At 52.4% G+C, this 23,191-nt stretch overlaps 1 protein-coding gene and 1 pseudogene across 5 annotated transcripts in view, besides 15 other annotated features; one reads left to right on the top strand and one right to left on the bottom strand.

The window, feature by feature from the left end:
• Positions 1 to 23,191, top strand: part of HSPG2 (heparan sulfate proteoglycan 2) — a 115,067-nt gene that overhangs the window by 6,813 nt on the left and 85,063 nt on the right. The gene's annotated exons all lie outside the window — the stretch shown is intronic.
• Positions 1,684 to 2,238: an enhancer, noted in NCBI's record as "H3K27ac-H3K4me1 hESC enhancer chr1:22254753-22255307 (GRCh37/hg19 assembly coordinates)". NCBI's record gives its function as "activates a minimal SCP1, AML or CMV promoter by ChIP-STARR-seq in primed H9 embryonic stem cells {active_cell/tissue: H9 hESC(primed)}" and the evidence as "EXISTENCE:reporter gene assay evidence [ECO:0000049][PMID:30033119]".
• Positions 2,239 to 2,795: an enhancer, noted in NCBI's record as "H3K27ac-H3K4me1 hESC enhancer chr1:22254196-22254752 (GRCh37/hg19 assembly coordinates)". NCBI's record gives its function as "activates a minimal SCP1, AML or CMV promoter by ChIP-STARR-seq in primed H9 embryonic stem cells {active_cell/tissue: H9 hESC(primed)}" and the evidence as "EXISTENCE:reporter gene assay evidence [ECO:0000049][PMID:30033119]".
• Positions 7,458 to 7,997: an enhancer, noted in NCBI's record as "H3K27ac-H3K4me1 hESC enhancer chr1:22248994-22249533 (GRCh37/hg19 assembly coordinates)". NCBI's record gives its function as "activates a minimal SCP1, AML or CMV promoter by ChIP-STARR-seq in naive H9 embryonic stem cells {active_cell/tissue: H9 hESC(naive)}" and the evidence as "EXISTENCE:reporter gene assay evidence [ECO:0000049][PMID:30033119]".
• Positions 8,716 to 8,883: a silencer, noted in NCBI's record as "fragment chr1:22248108-22248275 (GRCh37/hg19 assembly coordinates)". NCBI's record gives its function as "represses an EF-1alpha promoter that drives an FKBP-Casp9 reporter gene in an ReSE screen in phorbol 12-myristate 13-acetate-treated (for megakaryocytic differentiation) K562 erythroleukemia cells {active_cell/tissue: K562(+PMA)}" and the evidence as "EXISTENCE:reporter gene assay evidence [ECO:0000049][PMID:32094911]".
• Positions 9,079 to 9,619: an enhancer, noted in NCBI's record as "H3K27ac-H3K4me1 hESC enhancer chr1:22247372-22247912 (GRCh37/hg19 assembly coordinates)". NCBI's record gives its function as "activates a minimal SCP1, AML or CMV promoter by ChIP-STARR-seq in primed H9 embryonic stem cells {active_cell/tissue: H9 hESC(primed)}" and the evidence as "EXISTENCE:reporter gene assay evidence [ECO:0000049][PMID:30033119]".
• Positions 10,161 to 10,701: an enhancer, noted in NCBI's record as "H3K4me1 hESC enhancer chr1:22246290-22246830 (GRCh37/hg19 assembly coordinates)". NCBI's record gives its function as "activates a minimal SCP1, AML or CMV promoter by ChIP-STARR-seq in primed H9 embryonic stem cells {active_cell/tissue: H9 hESC(primed)}" and the evidence as "EXISTENCE:reporter gene assay evidence [ECO:0000049][PMID:30033119]".
• Positions 10,688 to 10,982: a silencer, noted in NCBI's record as "tiled region #4422; K562 Repressive DNase matched - State 5:Enh". NCBI's record gives its function as "represses a minimal TATA promoter and a strong SV40 promoter by Sharpr-MPRA in K562 cells {active_cell/tissue: K562}" and the evidence as "EXISTENCE:reporter gene assay evidence [ECO:0000049][PMID:27701403]".
• Positions 14,951 to 15,106: a silencer, noted in NCBI's record as "fragment chr1:22241885-22242040 (GRCh37/hg19 assembly coordinates)". NCBI's record gives its function as "represses an EF-1alpha promoter that drives an FKBP-Casp9 reporter gene in an ReSE screen in phorbol 12-myristate 13-acetate-treated (for megakaryocytic differentiation) K562 erythroleukemia cells {active_cell/tissue: K562(+PMA)}" and the evidence as "EXISTENCE:reporter gene assay evidence [ECO:0000049][PMID:32094911]".
• Positions 18,933 to 19,648: an enhancer, noted in NCBI's record as "H3K27ac-H3K4me1 hESC enhancer chr1:22237343-22238058 (GRCh37/hg19 assembly coordinates)". NCBI's record gives its function as "activates a minimal SCP1, AML or CMV promoter by ChIP-STARR-seq in primed H9 embryonic stem cells {active_cell/tissue: H9 hESC(primed)}" and the evidence as "EXISTENCE:reporter gene assay evidence [ECO:0000049][PMID:30033119]".
• Positions 19,649 to 20,364: an enhancer, noted in NCBI's record as "H3K27ac-H3K4me1 hESC enhancer chr1:22236627-22237342 (GRCh37/hg19 assembly coordinates)". NCBI's record gives its function as "activates a minimal SCP1, AML or CMV promoter by ChIP-STARR-seq in primed H9 embryonic stem cells {active_cell/tissue: H9 hESC(primed)}" and the evidence as "EXISTENCE:reporter gene assay evidence [ECO:0000049][PMID:30033119]".
• Positions 20,361 to 20,430: an enhancer, noted in NCBI's record as "active region_344". NCBI's record gives its function as "activates an Ori minimal core promoter by ATAC-STARR-seq in GM12878 lymphoblastoid cells {active_cell/tissue: GM12878}" and the evidence as "EXISTENCE:reporter gene assay evidence [ECO:0000049][PMID:35858748]".
• Positions 20,361 to 21,081: a biological region, named in NCBI's record as "H3K27ac-H3K4me1 hESC enhancer GRCh37_chr1:22235910-22236626".
• Positions 20,365 to 21,081: an enhancer, noted in NCBI's record as "H3K27ac-H3K4me1 hESC enhancer chr1:22235910-22236626 (GRCh37/hg19 assembly coordinates)". NCBI's record gives its function as "activates a minimal SCP1, AML or CMV promoter by ChIP-STARR-seq in primed H9 embryonic stem cells {active_cell/tissue: H9 hESC(primed)}" and the evidence as "EXISTENCE:reporter gene assay evidence [ECO:0000049][PMID:30033119]".
• Positions 20,481 to 20,540: an enhancer, noted in NCBI's record as "active region_343". NCBI's record gives its function as "activates an Ori minimal core promoter by ATAC-STARR-seq in GM12878 lymphoblastoid cells {active_cell/tissue: GM12878}" and the evidence as "EXISTENCE:reporter gene assay evidence [ECO:0000049][PMID:35858748]".
• Positions 20,601 to 20,650: an enhancer, noted in NCBI's record as "active region_342". NCBI's record gives its function as "activates an Ori minimal core promoter by ATAC-STARR-seq in GM12878 lymphoblastoid cells {active_cell/tissue: GM12878}" and the evidence as "EXISTENCE:reporter gene assay evidence [ECO:0000049][PMID:35858748]".
• Positions 21,884 to 22,440, bottom strand: RPL21P29 (ribosomal protein L21 pseudogene 29; annotated as a pseudogene).

Here is a 23,191-nt window from a genome sequence, read left to right as displayed (position 1 = left end):
CCGCCCTGTTCTAGATCTTGAGGTTACCGCAGAGAATAAAAATGTCAGATTCCTTCCTCTCATGTCACTTGCGTTATAGCTAGTGCAGGAAGACAGACAATAAATGAAATACATCAGGTGGTGATAAGTGCTCAGAAGAAAAAATAAAACAGGGAAGAGGGCAGTGAGTGATGAGGCGGGGTAGGTAGGGTGGGGTGGTAGGAAAAGCCTCTGATAAGATAAATTTGAACTGAAGGAGACCTGAAGTAAGTGAGCGGGTGAGCCTCGCAGATATCAATGGAAAGGGCATTCCAGGCAGAGGGCACAGCTAGTGCAGAGGCCCAGAGGTGGGAGTGTCCTTGGCATGTCTGTGGAAAAGCAAGGAGGCCCGTGGGGCTGGAGCAGCATCAGTGAGGGGGAGCATGGTGGATGCAGCAGGCAGGGGGGTGGCAGAGGGTGATCAGCAGAGCTTTGGCCATGGGAAGGACCTTGGATTTGCGTCTGAGTGAATTGAGAAGTCACTGAAGGGGCCCGGTGTTCCATAGGATTGCTTTGGCTGCTGTGTGGAGAGGAGCACGGGGAGGGTCCAGAGCAAAGGCAAGGAGGCCGTGACCCAGGACAGACGATGGGAGCTCAAGCTAGGACCACGGAGGTGGGAGATGGTTGAATCCCCAGTACATTTTGAAGATGGGTCACCAGGATTTGCTAGTGGGTTGGATGTGGGGCGGGACAGAAAGAGAAGAGTCCGGGATGCCTCCACAGTCTTTGGCTTCAGCATCCCGAAGGATGGAGCTGCCACTACCTGAGATGGGAAAGTTCCAGGAGGAGTGGGCAGGAGGTGGAGTCCAGAATTCTCAGAACAGTTAATTTATTTGTGTCTTCTCTTACGATCTCTTGTTTGGACAATAAAAATTCCTAAAAAAAAAAAAAAAAAAACCGGCAGGTGGGCCAGGAGTGGTGGCTCACACCTGTAATCCCCACACTTTGGGAGACCAAGGTAGGAGGATCACTTGAGCCCAGGAGGTGGAGGTTGCAGTGAACCATGATCTTGCCACTGCGCTCCAGCCTGGGTGATAGAACGCGATCCTGTCTCTTAAAAAAAAAAAAGAAAAAAGAATGGCAAGTGATGGAGGGGACAGCATGGGTGGGGGTTGGACTGGCTCACATGCCTGGCAGTCATCCCCCTACCCATCTCCAGCCAGGAGCTCCCCCGTCCCCACCCAAGCTGGGGCCTCTGCATTGGCTTATGGTGTAGGCGGAGGGGATCTTGCTGAGTGTTCATTTGTGGAGTTGCAGACTCTGCCTTAGAACTCCACAGCCGGAGCTCATGGCTTGTAGATTTATTCTTACCCCCTCATCTAGAGTGGAAGCTGCATGAGGGCAGGGACTTGGCTTTGTTCATTGCTGTTTGCCTGGTGCTAGGCAGATAGTAGGTGAACACATTAAAACTTCAAGTGAGGCTGGGCACAGTGGCTCACAACCTGTAATCCCAGCACTTTGGGAGGCCAAGGCGGGCGGATCACCTGAGGTTGGGAGTTCGAGACCAGCCTGACCACCATGGAGAAACCTCGTCTCTACTGAAAATAATAATAATAAAAAAATCAGCTAAGCATGGTGGCACATGCCTGTAATCCCAGCTACTCAGGGAGGCTGAGGCAGGAGAATCACTTGAACCCGGGAGGCGGAGGTTGTGGTGAGCTGAGATCGCGCCATTGCACTCCAGCCTGAGCAACAAGAACAAAACTCCATCTCAAAAAAAAAAAATCAAGTGAATAAAGGATGGGCGCGGTGGCTCACGCCTGTAATCCCAGCACTTTGGGAGGCTGAGGTGAGCAGATACTTGAGGTCAGGAGTTCGAGACCAGCCTGGCCAAGATGGTGAAACCCCGTCTCTACTAAAAATACAAAAAAGTTAGCCGGGTGTGGTGGTGCATGACTGTAGTCTCAGCTACTCAGGAGGCTGAGGTAGGAGAATCGCTTGAACCTGGGAAGCGGAGGTTGCAGTGAGCTGAGATCATGCCATTGCACTCAAGCCTGGGCGTCATTGCGAGACTCTGTCTCAAAACTACAAACAAACAAACAAATTCAAGTGAGCAAATTAATGGCTTTGAGGAAGCCAGCAGGCCAAGAAGGCCCAGGCTCCTTGCTGAGATTGGAAAGGGGCGTGCTCTGGCCCCTGCACTTGGGAGCTGCCTGCCCAGCCATGCTCTCTGCAGGGCCCCAGAAGATGTGGGACAAGCTGGGATGTCCACTCTGCCCTTTTTGACTTGTCTGTGTCCTCATTGGTCTCAGAGCCACTTCCCTGGGCACTGTGGTCAAGGGAAAGATGTGGGCTCAAAAGGCCCTGCCTTCAAGTCTTGGCCCAGCCCTGACTGGCTCTGTGACCTTGGGCAAGTTGCTTTACCTCTCTGAGCCTCAGTCAAATGTGAAATGGGGAGGCCTGCTTCCTGGTGGTTATGAAGTAACCAGGTGGATGCACCTTGCTCAGTGCCTGGAATGTGGCAGGTATTTGACAATCCGTGATTGCACTAAGTCTCGTTCCTGCTAAAGACAAGGCCGGTGGAATATCTGAGGCAGGGTTCCCAGGGCACAGCCGGGCACGCCTTCTCTATGACCCAGGTCCTGTACTGGGCTTGTTGAATGAATGGCTGTGTAAGGGGATTGTCCATTCCCTGGGCCTCTTTCGCAGTCTCAGAGCTCCGGGTGTAACTGCCTCTGATCTGTCACTGCCCCTCCTTCGCCTACCGAGGCCGCAGCTGTAGGACAGAGTCCATCCTTCCACCCTGATTGCTCCTTCCTGGACTGGGAGAAGGAGGGGGGCACACCCCAGGGTGTGGCCTGGGAAAGGCTGGAGTCTTTGGACGCCTTGTCCCCTTCCCAGATGTGTGCAGTTGGTGGGCTCTGAGCAACAGGAGGTGTGGCCAGGGGCTCCCATGGGTGCAGAAAGGATGTTCGTGCATCCTGAGGGTAGTGACAGTGGGGGGGGTGGGGGATGTCCTGGGACCCCATCCTAGCCCTGTCCCCCCCTGGCCTACACTGGAGGAGGCAGGACCTTGCCTGGGGAGCTCTGGGCCAACCTGCAGTTGGTCCTTACTTGGTGGGATGTGGGGCTGCTCGACTCTAAATCTGGCTCCCGTGGCCTCAGAGAAACAGCAGGACTCAGGAGAGAGAGACACACAGGCCTGGGGATCTCACCCCACCCCACCCTATGCTTTGGGCTTGGGCTGTTGGGTAGAGATGTGTCCCCCCTCCCCATCAGGCGGGTCACACCTAGGTGTTTTGTAACATTTGGCCTCTTTCCCCATCTTTCTCCCATCCCAGTCGGTGGGGAAGGGGAGGCCTGGCTGGGGCCTGAGCCTGGGGAGGACTTCAGAGGTGGCCTCGGGTCACTCCACAGATGCTTCTCCACGGGTGGGGCTGGGATTCCCAGCTGCCTCTGGCCCCTTCCCAGCCCACCTCCGGGTCCCTGCCACCACCTCCCCACTCCCTGCGCCTGCCCATGGCTCTCTCCCAGGAAGCCGGCTCCGGCCCCCACCTCCTGGTCCTGGCCTCCCCCTCCTAACTAACCCCAGCTGACTCAACCCTCTCCTTGTTTGGCGTTTCCAATTTTCAAATAGTTGGGAACTGGGATCATGCCTCTTCTTGGATCCCTTACTGGGCTGGATGGATTGAAATTCTGGCCTGATAAATCCCAGCCCTAGTGGCCTCTACTCTATCATTTTCTTTCTCTCTTTTTTTTTTTTTTTTTTTTTTTTTTTGAGACTGAGTCTCACTCTGTCTCCCAGCCTGAAGTGTAGTGGTGCGATCTCGGCTCACTGCAACCTCTGCCTCTCGGATTCAATAGCGATTCTTTTGCCTCAGCCTCCCTGGTAGCAGGGATTATGGATTACAGGCATGCACTACCACGCCTGGCTAATTTTTGTATTTTTAGTAGAGACAGGCTTTCACCAGGTTGGCCAGGCTGGTCTCAAACTTCTGACCTCAGGTGATCCACATGCCTCAGCCTCCCAAAGTGCTGGGATTGCAGGTGTGAGCCACCACGCCCAGCAGCCTCTATCACTTTCACGGCTCTTCACCCTTTCCTGCCTTTTGCCTTGCTATGACCCTTAGGCCAGAGGAACAGAAACCCAGGAGTTTCCTGGGGACAGACCAGTCTCTTCCCTGTCCTGGGACCTGCAGGTTCTCCTCCCCAGTGGCCTCAGTCACATAGGTCACCAGTCAATGTTCCCTGAGTGCTGACACCTTCTCATTAAAACTGCCACCCTCTTTAGAGCCAGGCCTCCCACTGGGCTCTTGCCAGGCATTATCGCATATAATACTCACAGCAATCTTTTGAAGTTGGCATTATATCTCCATTTTGCAGGGCAGGAAACTGAGGCATCAGGAGGGGGAGTTGGGGGCCAGATTCTCACTTGTAATCCCAGCACTTTGGGAGGCCTAGGAGGGCAGATTGCTTGAGGCTAGGAGTTCGAGAGCAGCCTGGCCAACATGGTAAAACCCCATCTCTACTGAAAATACAAAAATTAGCCGGGCGTGGTGGCTCATGCCTGTAGTGCCAGCTGCTTGGGAGGCTAAGGCAGGAGAATTGCTTCAACCCGGGAGGCGGAGGCTGCAGTGAGCCAAGACTGTCTCAAAAAAAAAAATAAAAATAAAAAAATAGAGGGAATGGCTGGCCCTTCATCCATCCAGTACGTGCCACACCTGGGAATGGAGCCCAGGTTGTCAGACTCCCAAGTCATCATTGTTTTCCTCAGTGGGTCCTGTTGTGTCCAGACAGAGGAAGTCTGGGAGGGCTGTGTGGAGAAGGTGGGTCCAGGCTGGCCTTGGCAGAGGGTTATAGGAGGCTGCATGTCTGCCACATGGGCTTTGCCAGTTCCTGCTTCACAGACTCGGGTGTCTTTTTACCCTTTGGCTTCCATTTCAACCCAGTGATAATGTTCCCCAGAGAGATGGATGTGACCTTCCCTGTGACTGAGACCCCTGGGAACCCTGATTCTTCTCAGTCAGGTCCCAAGCTCCCTGTGGGGCCTGCAGGTTTTGCCCTGTTGGGAGTTCAGTGAGTTTTGCTGAGCGGGGCCTGCTCTGAGCCAGCCCTGTGTCCCCCTCATACTGGGGGCTTGGGTGAAATGCAAGGCAGAGAAGCACATGGCTCAGCTGCGAGATGAAATCTACATCCAGGTCCCGCGTTGTGTTGTTTCAACAGCCCTGTGCAGTGGAAGCTTCAAGAATCCTTCCATCCATCCCTCTGTCCACTCATTTGTTCACATATTCAGCTAGTGCTGCCTGAGGACCTGCTGTGCGCCTGACATCGCGCTCATTGTTTGATCTGTGTTATCAATCCCCCTGTACATCTGGGGTTATGCCTCCATTTCCCAGATGAGAAGTAGCTCAGAGAGCAGGGAATAGTCAGGCGCAGAGGAAGGTAGAGGCTGCCTTCAGCGTCACCAGACCTCCTGGAAGAAATTGGAGGCATGGTCCCTACTCTCCGGATGCCTTGGATCTTGTTGGAGAGGCAGGACTCGTAAGCTATAAGTGCCCAACACAACTCAAAGTCCAGACAATAGCAGAGTGTCAGGGGAAGGAAAAGACTGATTGGGCATGAGTTATCTGGAAAGACTTTCTAGAGGAAATGGGGCTTAAAGAGCAAGTCTGATTTGGCTGGTAGAGGAGGAAAGCATTGTGGCAGGGGTCCAGGAGTTGTCCCCATTGTCCCTGGACTCACATTGTCCACATTGTTGTTGCATGTGCAAGAGCAGGAAGACACTCGCTTGCTGCCAGAGTCGTTAAGGTTGGGAAAGAATAAGAGGAAGTCCCCAAGATAGCTGAGGTGACATTCATTGCTGGTCAGACCAGGGAGGCAAGAGGTTAAGGCCTGGGCCTCCACTTGGTCACCAGTCAGCTACCATCTCTCCTCCCCGGGCCTCAGTTTTCCTACTCACAAGATGGGCTCCTTTCTTGTTTGTTGGCCGTCTTCCAAGCAGAAGAAAGGGACCCTGAGTTCTTGGAGAAAACTGCTCACTACCCCCCAAAAGTTGGTGGTGTTCCATTCTCTGGGGCCTGAGGGTGGTAGGCACCTCAAGGAGCCCACCATATCACCAATCCCATGTCTTCCTTCATTGACGCTATTGATTCCTTCCCCTGACACTGTTATTTTCTGGACTTTGAGTTGTGTTGGGCACTTATAGCTTACGAGTCCTGCCTCTCCAACAAGATCCAAGGCATCCGGAGAGTAGGGACCATGCCTCCAATTTCTTCCAGGATGTCTGGTGACGCTGGAGGCAGCTTCCACCTTCCTCTGCGCCTGGCTATTCCCTGCTCCATGAGCTACTTCTCATCTGGGAAATGGAGGCATAACCCCAGCTCCCAAGTGCCAGGCTCTGGGCTAGGGAAGCAGATGAAGGAGATGGCCCCTGTGCCCTAGACCTTGAAGCCTGTCCTGTCTTCTTGTGTAGCCCCAGAATCTCTCCTGCCGTGCTCTGTCCATGTCAGTTCACCTCTGCTCTTGGGTACCTGCTGCTAAGCTGACATCAGGGGCATTCATTGTAAATGTCTGTTTAGAAAGTGTGACTAGGAGTCACAAGATTCCTAAACTCTTACGTGATCCCAAGCCATTGAACTTCTTTGAGCTTAATTTTCCCCAGAAGCAAAATGGGACCGTTCATTCATTCGGCAAACATTCTCGGAGTGACAGCGGTATGCGAGGCCTTGTGTTGGATCTAAACACCACCGTGGGCTTATGGAGCTTGTGGTCTGATAGGGGAGAGAGGCTGAGTGGTGGGCCAGCTGGTAAAGGAGTAGGGAGAAGGAGGCTACATTCAAGGAAGACACTCGAGGACTATAGCAGGATTTCAGGGCCACCAGACCTCTGGGAGATCTCTTGAGTCTTTGTGACTTGGTCTCAGCACTCATTTGTGAGTCTGTTTCCCTTGCAGTGAGCCTGTGGGAGGAGAGGACCTGGGAGCCAGCTCCCCTGGGTGAGGGCAGGGGGAGGGCCCACAGCAGCAGAGAGAAGGGCAGGCCGATTTTATCGTGAGTCTCAGATGAGCTCATGGATGTGCAAAATAGCGAGGGCTATTTATGTTGAGTCTGGTTATTTTATTTTATTTTTTTTTTTGAGACGGAGTCTTGCTCTGTCGCCCAGGCTGGGGTGCAATGGCATGATCTCGGCTCACTGCAGCCTCCGCTTCCTGGTTCAAGCGATTCTCCTGCCTCAGCCTCCCGAGTAGCTGGGATTACAGGCGCCCGCCATTATGCCCAGCTAATTTTTGTATTTTTAGTAGAGATGGGGTTTCACCATGTTAGTCAGGCTGGTCTCGAACTTCTGACCTCAGGTGATCCGCCTCCCTTGGCCTCCCAAAGTGCTGGGATTACAGGTGTGAGCCACCGTGCCCGGCTGAGTCTGGTTATTTTCATTTAGGAGAAATGGAAGCTGCCAACAGAGCCCAGGTTTGGGGTTCCCTGGCATTGAGTGGGTTAAATGAAGGGCGCAGTCTTGGGGTGCCTGCTTTTCACTTTCCTCCCTCTTTTTTCCCTCCCCGCCTTCTGGGGTCGGGGTGGGGGCGGGATGGGGGAAACATCAGCTCAAGCCTGGATTCGACTTGAGGAAATGGGAGGAAAGGGTTAATTAAGTCAGTCTGGCTTCCCACCTCCCTGGTAGGGGTCGAGGAGGGGGTACTGGGATGGCTAGGGCAGGAATGTGTGATAAGATCAAAGCTTTCAGCCGGCCTGGGCCCCACCTCTGGTTTCACCTGAGCAATTGAAGGGAATTCTCTAGCTGGGAGGACTGTGGCCTCCTAGGCAGGGGGGTTTTAGGCAGGGCCACCTTCCTCCAAGAGGCTCCACCTTACGTTGGCTTCAGGTGCTTCCTCCTTCCCCCCACACCTCCACCTCATCTCCCAGAAGACCCACCTTGTGCCCTGACAGGTACTAGAAGCCCCAGGGGCCACCTTTACTTCATACTTCAAGTGGTGGGGGGATGCACCCTCTCTAGCAACAGGACTCTCTCCTGCTCCCTCCACTGCCCTCTCATAGTTTGGGTTTCTAAGCCCAGGACACTTGGTTTTAGAAAGACCAGGAGGACCCTGGCTAAGGAGCTGAAAGGCTTCAGACCGCCCAGAAAAGAGCCCAGAGCCGCCTTGCTGTGGCTGTTAGCTCCCGTCCATCAATTCCGCACCGTTTCATTCTGCAGGTTGCACTTTGGGACAGTGTCATAGGCAGGAGGCATAGCCCTGAGGCCTATCCTAGCTTCATCACTGATTGCTGTGTGACCCTGGGCGGGTGAGTTCGCCTCTCTGAGCCTCCTCTGTCAGGTGGGAATGGCAATTCCTACACTGCAGGGTTTTGGTGAAGATTAGAGATCATATAAATAGCCTACAGCTGGAATGGGCAGTTGATAAATAACGGGAACTATTATTTTGTGATTTTATCTTTCCTCCTTCGAGAGAGCCCCTGGTACTTGGTCCTAGATAAACCTCTGGGTCTCAGTTCTATTGTGTCGTCCCCCTGCAACCCCACCTGCCACCTCACCCCCGCTATGGGAAGGCCCTAAGTCCCAGAGTCCATCCTCTCCTCCAACACTCTTTTCTTATGGGATCTTCATAATGTTGGGAGGGGAGCAAGGTGGGAAGGAGTGTGAGTGCAGGGGGCCGAAGGCTCTGTAAATGCTCTCAGGGACCTTCCCTAGGGATAGCAGGTTGAGCCTTCCTGGACAGCTGGTGGTCCAAGCTTTCCCTCTCCACTGCCAGAGGCCTCACCAGGCCAGCTGGGCTTAACAGAAGTGGCCCCAGGACACACTCAGTAGGGAGGAGCGGATGCTGGGGGTGCCGCAGCCCGGGCTTCTGCCTGCTTTCCACACTGGCTCTGCGCTGGTTAATGATTACTCTGAGTGAGCAGGAGAGCAGCAGAGGGGACCCTCCCAGCCCCTTAACCACTGGTTGCACCCGAGGTATGTCAGTAGTCCGGTGTTCCCTGCTTTAATGTGGCAGCCTGCTCTGGGGTATGCGGGGCAGGGAAGCAGGGGCTTGGAGTCACATATTGACAGGTAGCTTGTGCACCTGGGGTCCCGGAGACAGTCTTAGGGCCCACAGGGTCTAGGTGCAATGTGAACTCTGGTATAGTAACAGGCCCTGTGGTTTGGTGGCAGCTGTATGAACAGATCCTGCAATAATACACAAGGCAAGGAAGCCGCTTCTAGCACAGAAAATCCTGCACTCCTCCTCTCCCAGGCTCAGACCCTGCACAGGAGTCCTGATGATTAGGGCTTTGGGGCAGCTGAGCTTGGCTTCCAACCCCCAACTCTGCCAGTTCTGGGCTGTATGACCTTGGGCAAGTCACTTTACCTTTCTGAGTGGCTGCTTTCTTATCTGAAAGAAGAGAATGCTAATCCCTACTTTGCAATGGCAGCGAGCCACTGGGAGGGAGGTATTTAGTTCACAATTAATACCTGGGGAATGGCAGCAATTGTTATATTACTGTTATAGTTTTTGTTATTAGGAGAAAGGGAAATTGAATCTTCGTCTTGGGTAACCAGGGTGACAATGGCCGTTGGGGATGAGCTGGAAGATCTGCCCGGGGGAGGAGGCATAGGCAGATCCCAGACACATGTTTGAAGAGGGCATGTAGGAAAGGGCTGGAAGGATGAAGAGAACAGGGGCTTAGCAGAGATCTCAGCCACGCTAGGCCCACCTCAGACCTCTCAGCCTGGATTCCTCCCTGGGCTGGGTCCTGCTGCTGGCGAAGTCCAGGAGTGGGGGAGGAGGGAGAACTGTTTTATTTTGATAACATTAGGGCATTTTCCCCTACTGGCAGCTGCTATTTTGAGAGCCCCGGAGAGCAGGGGCTATGGTTAAATTAGGTAATGTTGCTCCAACAGGAATGTGTGAAGCAGGCAGGCTGAGGTTGCAGAGAGAGTACGGTCAGTTCACTCCATATAACATTAAACTGCAGCCTGGAAAAGAGCAGCTTGGACCACTTTATAAGGCGATGTGGGGGGAACCACTGGAAGCTGCTGCTAGTGGAGTGAAAGTGATGGCCCAGCGCCTCTTTTTAGGGAGCCTGGGCCTCTGCCCGGAGGCCTGGCTGACCCAGCAAGGAGCCGGTGACTGGCCTGAGGGGCAGAGCTGGGGTGTCTTCAGCTCCACGCCTGTGGCTGCTACTCGAGGCGGGTGGGGTTTAGGGTGGGGTGATGCATGAGAAGGGTGACTTGGCAGACTTGGCCTTGAATCCTGCCTCTGCCTCTTTCTAGCCTTCTGTGCTTGGGCAAACCCCTCAACCTCAGTGGACCTCAGTATTAGCAGCAGTGGAAAAACAGTTCCAGCCACGCACGGTGGCTCACGCCTGTAATCCCAGCACTTTGGGAGGCCAAGGCTGGCGGATCACTCGAGGCCAGGAGTTCGAGACCAGCCTGGCCAACATGGTGAAACCTCATCTCTGCTAAAAATATGAAAATTAGCTGGGTGTGGTGGTGCATGCCTGTAATCCCAGCTACCTGGGAGGCTGAAGCAGTAGAATCGCTTGAACCCGGGAGGCGGCAGTTGCAATGAGCCAAGATTGTGCCACTGCACTCCAGCCTGGGCAACAGAGCGAGACTCTGTCTCAAAAAAGAAAAAACAGTTCCAGTCCCTTAGGAGAATTTCTTATAGATCAAATCACAAGAAACAAAGGCATAGCTCACTTTTACGGAGGGCCTACTGTGTGCAGTAATCCCTTTATGTTCTTATAACTCCGAGGATGGTCCAGGCACTAGCAGCCCGGGCCTCAACTGGGAGCTTGTCAGAAATGCAGAGTTTCAGGCCCCCTTGGACCTACTGACTCAGAATCTGCACGCCGACAAGATCTCCAAGTGACTCATGTGCTCGTTAAAGCTGGAGAAGGGCTGCTTTCCGTCTGCTGTCTCATTTCATCCTGAAAACCACCCCTGGAGAGATGACTGCCATAGAAACTCCATCAATGCTCATACTCTTCCCAGATTCTTCCCTTCTTCCCTTTCTTTGGTCCAGGTGGGGGTTCAGTGAAGAATAGGGTGTCAAAGCCCCTGACAGGACTGAAGAAAGTTGAGAGTATTACTTGCTTTTGAGACTTTTTTTTTTTTTTTTTGAGACAGGGTCTTGCTCTGTCACCCAGGCTGGAGTGCAGTGGCACAATCTTGGCTCACTGCAACCTCCGCCTCCTGAGTTCAAGCGATTCTCCTGCCTCAGCCTCCCAAGTAGCTGGGATTACAGGTGCACACCACCACACCCAGCTAATTTTTGTATTTTTAGTAGAGACGGGGTTTCACCATGTTGGCCAGGCTGGTCTCAAACTCCCGACCTCAAGTGATCCGCCAGCCTTGGTTGCTCAAAGTGCTGGGATTACAGGCCTGAGCCACTGCGCCCAGCCCCTTTGAGACTTAATCAGACTCTCTTGTTTCCATTCACCTGCAGGCTCGGCACAGCTGGACAAAGGTCATTTCCCCAAAGTCATTCCATGCTGCCTGCCTTTGGGGAAAGATGGGGGCAGGAAAGCGGTTCTCTACTGACATGGCCTGTAGGGCGGGCAGCAGCAGCCACTGCCCTATAGATCAGAGGAGAGGGGGAGGAGCCCAGTGGGGAGGGGAATCAGAGAGGGGTGGCCCTGGACTTAGTTAGGGTTCTCCCATCTATCACTGGTACATCTGGGACTGAGACGGTCTAGGAGCAAATATTTGGAGAACGCTGACTATGTGCCCAGCCCTGGGGAAGTATCCTCAATTTCCCCTAATTCTGTAGACCCTTTATTATTCAGAAATAAAGCTCCACAACTGTTAATACAATTTATTTAGTATGTAGCATGTGCCACACACTATACTGAGCACTTGAGTTGCATTAGCTCTTTGATCTATTTAATTTCACCATCACTTCCCTCCTCTATAGAATGAGGGTGGTAATAATAATACCGATCTTGTGGGGCTGTTGGGAAGATAACTCAATGTTTGTCAAGTATATGGCACATAGTGTTAAATAAATATAGTAAGTACAAATAATCTCCCAATAAGGCAGGTACTATTATTGTCCCACCCCTCCTTTTTTTTTTTTTTATTCCCACAGAGTCTCACTTTGTTGCCCATGCTGGAGTGCAGTGGCGCCATCTTGGCTCACTGCAACCTCTGCCTTCCAGGTTCAAGTGATTCTCCTGCCTCAGCCTCCCAAGAAGCTGGGACTACAGGTGTGCGCCACCACACCCTGCTAATTTTTGTATTTTTAGTAGAGACAGGGTTTTACTATGTTGGCCAGGCTGGTCTCGAACTCCTGACCTCAGGTGATCCGCCTGCCTCGGCCTCCCAAAGTGCTGAGATTACAGACGTGAGCAACTGCACACGGCCTGTTGTCCCATTTTACAGAGGTACACATTGAAGTTCAGTGCAGGGAAGGGTCTGGACTCCTCTGCTGGGATCACAGGAGGCTCGGGAAGAGCCATAAGAAATTGAGTCCTCAAACTTATAAGCCAATATTATAATTCAGTTCAACATAGTAAGTATTTGTTTATTATCCCCTAGCTGCTGGACATTAGGAAGTATCTAAAGGTTGAATATATACATATGTTTAAAAGATGAAAAAAAAAAACTTGGTGTCTGTCCCCAAGGAGCTTTGGTTCCAGCAGGAGAGAAGAGACAGTAACTCAAGTGATTATAATTAAGACTGAATCTCTAGTGTTCTGAGGTAGAAATTAAGTCCACATATTTGTAGGGAGAAGGATGTCTTTATAGGGGTTCCAAAAAGTCTTTAGAGTGGAGGTGGTGATTGAGTGGGCCTTGAAGGATGGATGAATAGATTAGCTCGAAGGGCATGGGAACAGCATTCCAAGAAGAGGGAACCACATGACTAAAGGCCTAGAGGCAGGCAAATGTGCCCTGTGTTACCCTGAGTGGGTGTCGTCCAGTTCTTAGGAGCCTCAGGGGGCTGATGGGTGGAGAAGTCCAAGCCCAGCTTTTTTGCCATTGAAGATTCTCAGTGTTCTTAAAGACATGGCTTCTCGACCAACTGGGACTGTTCCATCCCCATTCTGCCCTGTCTTTTATTTTTATTTATTTATTTATTTATTTATTTATTTATTTATTTATTTATTTACTTTTGAGACAGGGTCTTGCTCTGTCACCCAGGCTGGAATGCAGTGGCACGATCATGGCCCACTGCAGCCTCGACCTCCTGGGCTCAAGTGATCCTCCCATCTCAGCCTCCCGAGTAGCTGGGACCATAAGCACACACCACCACACTTGGCTGATTTTTGTATTTTTCATAGAGACGGGGTCTCGCCATGTTGCTGAGTCTGGTCCCAAACTTCTTGGGCTCAAGCAATCCACCTGTCTCAGCCTCCCGAAGAGCTAGGATTACAGGCATGTGCCACCGCGCCCAGCCATTCTGCCCTTTCTTAGTGTGAAAAAATCAAAGACCTTTGTAAACAGGCGGTCAGAACTTCTGGTCAGCGTGTGATAACTGGTGTAGCTGACAGAATTCAGGCCAAAAGCAGACAGACTTGATATCTTGATTAACGAGGCAGCCTTATCACCACACATGTTCGATTTCCGTTAGCCGTTTCCAGCCTTGACAATAACCATGGGTGGGGAGCCCTGTGGCAGAGCCAGGCCTGGTTCCGATTTTGCCTCTGCAGCCTACAGCTGTGCAGCCTTGGCAAACCTCAGTTTCCTCCTTTGTAAAATGGAGATAGCTCCATCTCCAGCCTTGGCCTAAGGATCAATGATGGTATAATCTGCACTGTCTGATATGGTAACTGCTAGTCACACGTGACTATTTAATGCAAAATTTAAAATTAAATAAAGTTTTAAATAAAAATTCAGTTTCTTTTTTTTTTTTTTGAGATGGAGTCTCGCACTGTCGCCTGGGCTGGAGTGCAATGGCGCAATCTCGGCTCACTGCAACCTCTGCCTCCTGGGTTCACGCAATTCTCCTGCCTCAGCCTCTGGAGTAACGGGGATTACAGGCACACACCACCACACTGGCAATTTTTTTTGTGTTATTTATTTATTTATTTTTATTTTTTTTAAGACAGAGTCTCGCTCTGTTGCCCAGGCCGGAGTGCAGTGACACAATCTCGGTTCACCGCGAGCTTTGCCTCCAGGATTCATGCCATTCTCCTGCCTCCTCCTCCCGAGTATCTGGCACTACAGGTGCACGCCACCACGCCTGACTAATTGTGTTTTTGTATTACTAATAGAGACAGGGTTTCACCGTGTTAGCCAGGATGGTCTCGATCTCCTGACCTCATGATCCACCCGCCTCGGTCTCCCAAAGTGCTGGGATTACAGGCGTGAGCCACCGCACCCAACCAAATTTTTTGTATTTTTAGTAGAGATGGAGTTTCACTATGTTGGCCAGACTGGTCTCCAACTCCTGACCTCATGATCTGCCCGCCTCAGCCTCCCAAAGTGCTGGGATTACAGGCGTGAGTCACCGTGCCAGGCCTTTTTTTTTTTTTCTTCTTCTTCTTTTCTTTTTTGAGATGGAGTCTTGCTCTGTCACCCAGGCTGGCATGCAGTGGTGTGATCTCGGCTTACTGCAACCTCTGCCTCCCAGGTTCAAGCAATTCTCCTTCCTCAGCCTCCCGAGTAGCTGGGATTACAGGCACACACCACCACGCCCAGCTAATTTTTTTTATTTTTAGTAGAGATGTGGTTTTACCATGTTGGCCAGGCTGGTCTCGAACTCCTGACCTCAGGTGATCCGCCCACCTCGGCCTCCCAAAGTGCTGGGATTATAGGCGTGAGCCACCATGCCCGGCAAAAAATTCAGTTTCTTGATGGTACTAGCCTCATTTGAAGCGCTTAGTAGCTATCTTATTGGATGAGTGCAGGCACGCAACATTTCCATTGCACCAGAAAGTTCTGTCGGAAGCGCTGTGTATGTTAAGTGCTGGGTATTGCTGGAAGGAGTTGCTGTGGTCATTATCCCTGGTTCCCTGTCCCATATTGGAACCGTTCCAGCTCTCATTGGTTCTTCTTGCTGCTCCTCTCTCTGCTGGGCTCTTCCTGCTTTCTTCTCGGCAGCCTCTCACTCTCCCTTTGCCTGACCACACCCATAATGTGAAAAACTCCATGACTTGCCTTCATCCAGCTCCTCTGCCCCTGTTATTTTCCCACGTGCTCCCTGCAGCCTGTCTGCATATCTGCCCTTTCAGCTGCTGGCATCTGGAATCTCCATGTCCGGGCTCCGAAATTCCCACTACCCATTCCCAGTGGGAGAAGGGGAGGAGGCCTCCCCTGGCAGTCCCTAGTCCCCAGCTCCCAGCAGAGGTGCCGGCTGCCTGGGCCCCTTAGCGGTGTAGAGATGATGGTTTGTTGTGACGGGGGCACCCTGCCCGCTCTAACGCGCCCGTATCAGGGCGCCAAGTGTGCTGTTTGCACTTGGCTGGGCCTCACGATCTGGCCGGGTGCCCGTGAGGGCTGGCCCGCTGGCACCCTTGGTAACAAAGGTAACAAAGGCCAATCATGGACCCTCCGCCTGGTCAGGAACATAAGGAGCCGGTCCTGGGCTGGGCCCTGGGGGTGAGGGACGTCTGACACCCAGAACCAGAGTGCAGGACAGAGGCCGTGGCTGTGGCTGGGCTCTGGGTGCTGAGTGGGACAAGGCCCAGGCAGGCATAGGCAGGATGTGAGCTTTTGGGGGTCAGGCAGGTGGTTGCTCTGGGCAGTTCAGGTGGGCAGGGTCTGCACCTGGCATTCACACCTGCCCGGGGAGGAGCTTTGGCCTGAGATGCCAGAGAAGCTCAAGGTCACCTCCCAGCACCATCCTTTCTCCTCCCCTTCCTTTTGGGGAGGAGAAAGTCATCTGCGAAGTGGATGGAACAGGCATCTCTAGCCCATGAGTGACAAGGACATTGAGGCCCTGCAAGGAGCTGCAGCTGGTCTGAGATCACATGGCCAATCCCTGGAAGAATCAGAGCTTGGACTCAGACACCTGCGCTTTTCTACCTTTCTGCTCCTCCCCATGGGAGTTGTGAAGCCAGTCGTCCCTGGACACCTGGCTATGGAGGGTCAGATCCTGGCCCTGCCAGATTCTCCTCCGGGGGATAGAGACAATTACACCTAGCTCTCAGGGCAGTCATGGGGGTTAGATAACCGGCCTCCTGGCTGTTTTCCAAAACATTCTGAGGCTCCTCCTGCCTCTGGGGTCTTTATAGATGCTGCTCCTGGTGCCTGGGTGCTCTTCCTCTAAGTATGCACCTGACTTGCTCTGTCAGCATCACCCTCCATACCCAGGGAAATAGCAACCCTCAACAGGCCACTCCCCGTCCCCTCACCCTGCTGTATTTCCTTTTCAGCACTCTCACCATTTGACATGTATATTTGGGGTATTAATTTATGGTCCATCGGTCTCCAAGTAGACGGTCAGCACCAGCAAGGGCAGAGAACATTGTGTGGCTCATAGTACCTGCTCCTATAATGATTACTGTTTTTTCCCCCTTCTCTTTCTAATACTTCCCAATACCTAATAGCCACTGTTTACTGGGCCCTCTCTACACACCAGATCCTGGGCTAAATGACTCACAGCTTAGCGCCACAAATTTCACAGGTTCCTGTCACAGGCTGCTGTCACTTTTGTATTAGAATTGAGGGCGGAAGGCACTGCAGTGCCTTACCCAGAGCCACCCAGCTGGCAAGCGGCAGAGCCATGCCTCCGGCTGGGTTAGTCCCACCCAGAACTCACACTGTACTGCCTCTTGTGTTGGGTTTATGAGATCAGAGCCTTCATCCAAACTGGGGACTCAGAATCCACGTATGATGGGATTGGATGGATCAGATTTGGGGGTAGCTCTCAATCTTTTGGGGGTTCCCCTTCTAGCCTTCTCCTCCTTCCCTGTGCCCAGCACACATTTCCTAGGATGGCTCCTTCCCTGGGATTGGTCAGTTAGTTACAGCCGGGCTCACTGCCCCAGAATGACAGGTACCCTTTGGCTGGGGGGACCCAGCAGCTAACCTAAGGCCTGGGGGTTGGGCAGGGAGCAGAGAGTGGGTCCAGGTTCCTGGCTGTCCGTGGGCTGTCTGAGGGCAGGTGGACAGGATGTTCCCTGGGGCAGCAGACATTCCTGGTCGAAGGTGACAGGCAGCGGGGAGATTTACCATTTCCGGTAACCCGAGTCCCTGGGATGTCGCATTCTCTTTGCCAAGGACACGGCATCCCTCCCTTGCCAGCCCTTCCTGCCATTTCCTAGGCTGGGCCTGTCTGACTGGGGCTTGAAGACAGGCTGGAGGGACCAGCTCTGGGTGCCAGAGGTTGAGACTGAGGGCTCTGGCCCTGATTAGCACCCCCACAAAGACCTAGCCCATTGCCACCCTCCCAGAGGCCTCATCTGTGTAGCCCCTTATCCTGGCCTTTGAGAATCCTTGCCCCAAGGAGAGGAGGAGGTGGCTTCGTGAAAGGTAAATGACCCTTTGTTAGGAACCAAGAGGCTGGGTCCTGGATCTGCCTCTGCCAATCGAGTTGCTGGGAGGCTCCTCTCTCTTCTCACGGCTGCCCAAAAGCACCATTCTTAACACTCTGTATACATAATCCAGCTTTTTTTTTTTTTTTGAGCTAGAGCCTCACTCTTTCGCCCAGGCTGGAGTGCAGTGGTGCAATCTCAGCTCACTGCAACCTCCGCCTCCCGGGTTCAAGTGATTCTCCTGCCTCAGCTCCCCAGGTAGCTGAGATTATAGGCACATGCCACCATGCTGTGCTAATTTTTATATTTTTAGTGGAGATGAGGTTTCACCGTGTTGGCCAGGCTGGTATCAAACTCCTGATCTTAAGTAATCCGCCTGCCTCGGCCTCCCAAATTGCTGGGGTTACAGACACAAGCCACTGCGCCCAGCAATAATTATTAATCCAACATTATGGGGGTATGGGAGGCACAAAAATGAGGCTCAAAGTGATAAAGTTCCCCAGCAGCCGGAAGTGTCAGAGATGGGATTGAACCCAGGCCCTCCAAGTCTGGTTGGTTCCCCATAACATGCTCACTTCCCTTCTTTGGGATTTGGTTTCCCCATCTGATAAGTGAGGGTGTTGGCTAGGTGATCCCTCCCAGCTTGGACAGTACAGGATCCAGGAATGCATTGGAACCTTTTGCAGGCAGGTTTCTCTTGTGTCTCATTCTCCCCGGGGGTCTTTGGAGAGCTCACTCACTTGGTGTGTGAGCTCTGGGGTGGATAGGACTGGGAGAGAAGGAAGAAGTGGTACTTACACCTCGTAAGTGCCTGATACTAGCACTTAGGTTGTCCTGTTGAATTCTGACGGCAGCCTTGTGAGGGGGTCATTTTTATTCCCATTTTACAGATGAAGACACAGAGGCTCAGAGAGGTCAAGTGATTTGCCCAGGGCCACACAGCTAGGAAACTGCCAGGCTAAAGTGTCCAGTCAACAGTTAACAGTGGTATGGGGTGGCATGTGCCCAACACACATTTCCTAGGATGGCTTTGACTTATTAATAAAATATGATAGATATAGTAGTCATCGCAAAAAACTATCAACGTGTCTCAGAGATTTGAATACCTCTGCATCCAAACTTCACCTCCCAGGCTGCCTCTGACACTCAGAAGTAGCCCAGAAATCCTTTATTTAGTGGTTTCTTGATTTCTGCTTTGGAAAATATGGTCAGTTGTAATTATGGGTATGTGAGAGTTCAGAGGAGAGAGAGCTGCGTGGGCTGGAGCGGGCTGGAAAGGCTTGGCACCGAACTGGGAGTGGAGCTGGGCTGGCCGGCAGCTGAGGGGGCTGAGATGGGCTGGGGTGGGCCAAGCTCACAGCCTCCAGGGACGTTTCCTGAAGGGCCTGCAGTGGGGCTGTGCACCAGGGAAATTGCAAGCCTCTTCAGGACTCCCTCCCTCCCGGCCCTGCACCTCCCCACGGGGGCCCTGGAGCAGGCCAGGCTCCAGTTAAGGCATGTTCAGCCCCAGACCTTTGCTCCGGCCTCTCCACCCAGGCTTCCCAGGGAACTGGGTAAAGGGCTGTGCTATGGGACAGCGAGGCCAGGCACCCTGAGGCTTGAGCAGTTGACAGCATGAGGACTAAGATGACCCCAGCCAGCCCGCCCACCCCCTCCACACCCCCACTCCCTGCCTGCTCTGGGGCCCTTGGCCCTGAGGCCTCAGCAGCTGTCAGCAGGGAAGGGTGACAGAGGAGGGCCAGAGGTGACTTCCCAGCCTGCCCATTCTCCCCCTGCTTGGGCCAGGCCCAGAGCTCTCCCCAGCTGTTGTCAGCAGCTGTGGAGCTTTGTTCTGGGGCCAGCTCTGGGTAGCCCCCTCCTCCCAGTACATCTTCCCACCATCCTTCACAGCTGCTGCCCTTGGGGAGGGGCTGGGGCTAGTGTGGGAGACAGAGTCACATCTTTGGTTCCTTTGATCCTACCAACGACCTGAAGAAGAGGAATTCATGCCCTTGTTTTTATGGAAGAGAAAACTGATTCAGAGAGGCCAAGCAACTTGCTTGAAGTCACACAGCTTAGTGGCTGACTTCAGGCTCCTGGCTCCCCACCCAGTGCTCTCCGACTGCCTTTCTTCAATGTGCATTTGGCGCAGGATGCCAGGGGCTTCAGGGCTCCTGGGCTTGACTCCCAGCTTGGCCATTTGCGACCTCAGGCGAGCTGCTTAACCACCTGGACTGGAACTCCCGTTTTCTTGCTTGTGAAATAAGATAATGGTACCGACCTCTTGGGACTGTTGAGCAAATTAAATCAGATAATTAACATCAGGTACTTAGCATAAGGCTTGATGTGTTCTTTGTGCTCAAGCTGAGAGCTGGCAACGTTACCATCGAGGGTATTAACCACCTGTGTGCCTGGCATTCTGGGTGGTTCTATGGAGGCTACAGACACATTCTTTAAATATTTGTATCAGTCAGTAAATATTTATTTGGCACCTACTGTGTGCCAGGTGCTAGAAAAAGGGCAGCGACAAAACAGACCAATTCCCGTTCCTGCTTATATTCTGCTTCACAAAGTGGCTGGAGAGACACTACTCATCCTAACCATGGAAGCCTCTGGAGTGCTTTCACACACTGGGATTCACATCCATATTTTGCAGATGAGAAAACTGGGACCCAGAGAAGATCGATGGCAGAGTTGAGCCAGGACCCAGCTTTTCTGAGGGTCTCAGGCAGTGCTGCTGAGCACAGGAGGCAGCCCTGTGGGCTTCCTGGAGGAGGCATTTTGTGCTGAATCTTACAGGGCCTCAGGGCCTGGCAGGGGAGGTGGGGAACAGTACAGGATGCAGCCACCACAGTCTGGGCAGGAACAATTTCAGGAAGGTCTTACGGAGGGCAAGGCCTTTTGTTCCCCAGGGAGGAGGCCCAGTCAGAGCTTTAAATACCCCGTGCAGCCCAGAATAGCCCCCATTGTGTTGGTCTGCAGCTGGGGGACCCAGGGAGGAACCAACATCGCCATGGAGGATCCTGAGGGGGCTGATTCTGGCAGATTCTGGAGGTGGGGCGGGGAGGTCTTCAGGCACTTCCCTATATGGTGCGGTGGCATTTCTGTGGAAGGCTTTTCTAGTCTGGCTCAGGCAGGAAGGCCTGCTTTGTGGGAAGGGTGGAGCAGCAGCTCAAGTTCTGCGTGAGCAACGTGCAGCTGAGGGGGGAGCCTGGTGGGTGGGGGACTCCCAGGGACGGCTCTGTGCCTGACTGAAGGTGCCTCTTTGTGCACCAGAGGTATGTGTGCATTGGCCCACTGGGCCCTCCTGTAGGTGGGCCTAGCCCAGGCCCTTGCCAGGGCCTCTTGGCACCCTCTCCTGCTCTAGCTATTTTGGGCACTGGCTGTGTTCGGGTTTGGGGAGTGATGGGTAATCCTGCCTAGACCAAGGCTGCTGGGGTGAGGTTGGTGGGGTACTGACTGGACTGCCATTCCAGCTCCCTGAATCTTTGATCACTGTAGCCTCTGCCCCTGGCTTCAGCTTCAAAGGGTCATGGTCAGCAGACTCTGAGGGGATGCCAGCCCCACTGATGAGGCAGAGAAGGGTGCCAGACAAGCCTGTCCCTTGGGACATTCCCTGCTCTCAGTATCAGGGATAGTTGTGCTTTTTCTAAGCAACTGGTTTGTTTTTACATTGTGAGACATGGAATCTAGGGACTGGTCAGGTTTCCTTCTTCCCATTGGCTGCTGGCAAGCTCAGGGCCACATGAGTTGTCCCTTTCCTAGATCTCTGGGATTCAGCATGTGCTCTCTGTCTGCTTGCCTCACTCCAGGCTCCATCTGCCTGCCCTGCCTGAGTTTTTCTTATATTTCTTTAGTTAATATTCTCTTGGCTGTTAAGTGTGCATCTTTGTAAGCTGTCTGCAGCCTTTTTGGAACAGGGCAAGAGGGGAGGTATAAATGAATGATGAGGATGATGGTGATGATGACCCTTTGCTCAGCGGGTCTCTGCAGCCTGACTCCTTCTGGCTCTGTCCTGACATTGTTTCTGTTTTTGTTTTTTGAGATGGAGTCTCACTCTGTCGCCCAGGCTGGAGTGCAATGGCGCCATCTTGGCCCACTGCAACCTCCACCTCCCGGGTTCAAGCGATTCTCCTGCCTCAGCCTCCCAAGTAGCTGGGATTACAGGCATGTGCCACCATGCCCGGCTAATTTTTGTATTTTTTAGTAGAGACGGGGTTTCACCATGTTGGTCAGGCTGGTCTCGAACTCCTGACCACCAGTCCCAAAGTGCTGGAATTATAGGCGTGAGCCACCGCACCCAGCCTGTCCTGACTTTGTAATCCCCTCCTTTAGCCCTGTTCCTTTTGCAGGTGGGACACAGCCTAGAATTTTAGAATCCTAATGTTTTAGAGTGTCAGTGCTCTAAAATATCAAAACCAGAGGAAGCTTTGGGGTCGTTTAAGTTGATGGCTTTCAAACTCATTAAGCAGTGAGACCCTTATTTTAATCAAAATAACAAAGATAATCACAGCAAACACTTTTTTTTTTTTAACAGCCCAGAGGTCTTTTTTTTTTTTTAAATACCTATTATGCCGTGAATTCATAGAGAATAGGTTCCAGCAGCTCAGGCTCCTTCCCATTGGTTCTCACAAAGTGTGCTTTGCTGGGTGGAGCAGGCTGGCGCTTTAGTTGAACCCAGGTACCTTTCTCTTTGGCTTCTCTCTTTTTCTGATCATTCTCCTTCACGCGTTTCAGGAAGCTATCTCGGCTCTCAGAGTGCTTAATGTGCTCAATACGCACATTAATTCTCTTGGCAAGAATCTTGCCCTTAACTTGTTTGTTTACAACAATGCTAGCAGCATACTGGATAACATTGTAGACTCTTCCAGTTTTGCCATGGTAACACTTGTGGGGCGTTCCTTTTTGAACAGTACCCATTCCCTTGATGTCTACAATATCACCTTTCTTATAGATTCGCATATACGTGGCCAAAGGAACAACTCCATGTTTTCTAAAAGGCCTGGAGAACATCTATTGGGTGCCTCTCCTCTTTCCCTTTGTGTTCGTCATTTTGGCGAATTACTGGAAGATGGCGGTTCCGGCCGAAAGGCAGCAAACACTTATAGAACATTCACCATGTGCTGTGTTATCTGTAGCATTTTACATCTGTATTTAACCCTCACAACAGCCGTATGAGATAGATATTATTACTATGAATGATCGTGCCCATTTTACACATGAGGAAACGGAGGCACAGAGAGGAGAAATGACTTGCTCATGGCCTCACAGCTAACCAAGGGCTGAACCAGATATTTATGTAGGTGAGAATATAGAAAGGAAAGAGGTGGATTTGTAGCCGGGCACAGTGGCTCATGCCTGTAATCCCAGCACTTTAGGAGGCCGAGGCAGGAGGATCGCTTGAAACCAGGAGTTCGAGACCAGCCTGGGCAACATAGCGAGACCTCATCTCTACAAAAAATAAATTAGCCAGATGTAGTGATGTACACCTATACTCCCAGCTACTTGGAAGGCTGAGGCAGGAGGATATCTTGAGCCTAGGAGGCTCTGAGGAGGCCCACTGCCCTCCAGCCTGGGCGACAGAGCAGAACCCTGTTAAAAAAAAATTGGATGTGTTTTGATGAAAGTGAGTGTTTGGGAAGGGGCCCAAACTCTAACGGTGCCCCGCTTCCACCTCACTCCTGTCCAGAGTGGCCCTGAGGCTGCTGAGGATGGACTGGAGAGCCATGACCTAGGGCTGCTTCATCATCGGACAGAGGGGAGTCTGAGGCCCAGAGAAGGGAAGGGACCAGCGAGCAGAGCTGGTTGGGAGCCCTGTTCTCAGTCGCTGCCCTGAAGAGCAC

Source organism: Homo sapiens, chromosome 1 (assembly GCF_000001405.40).
Source record: "Homo sapiens chromosome 1, GRCh38.p14 Primary Assembly".
NCBI lineage: Eukaryota > Metazoa > Chordata > Mammalia > Primates > Hominidae > Homo > Homo sapiens.
The sequence above is the reverse complement of the archived record's forward strand: the minus strand, read 5'-3'. Positions and strand labels throughout refer to the sequence as shown.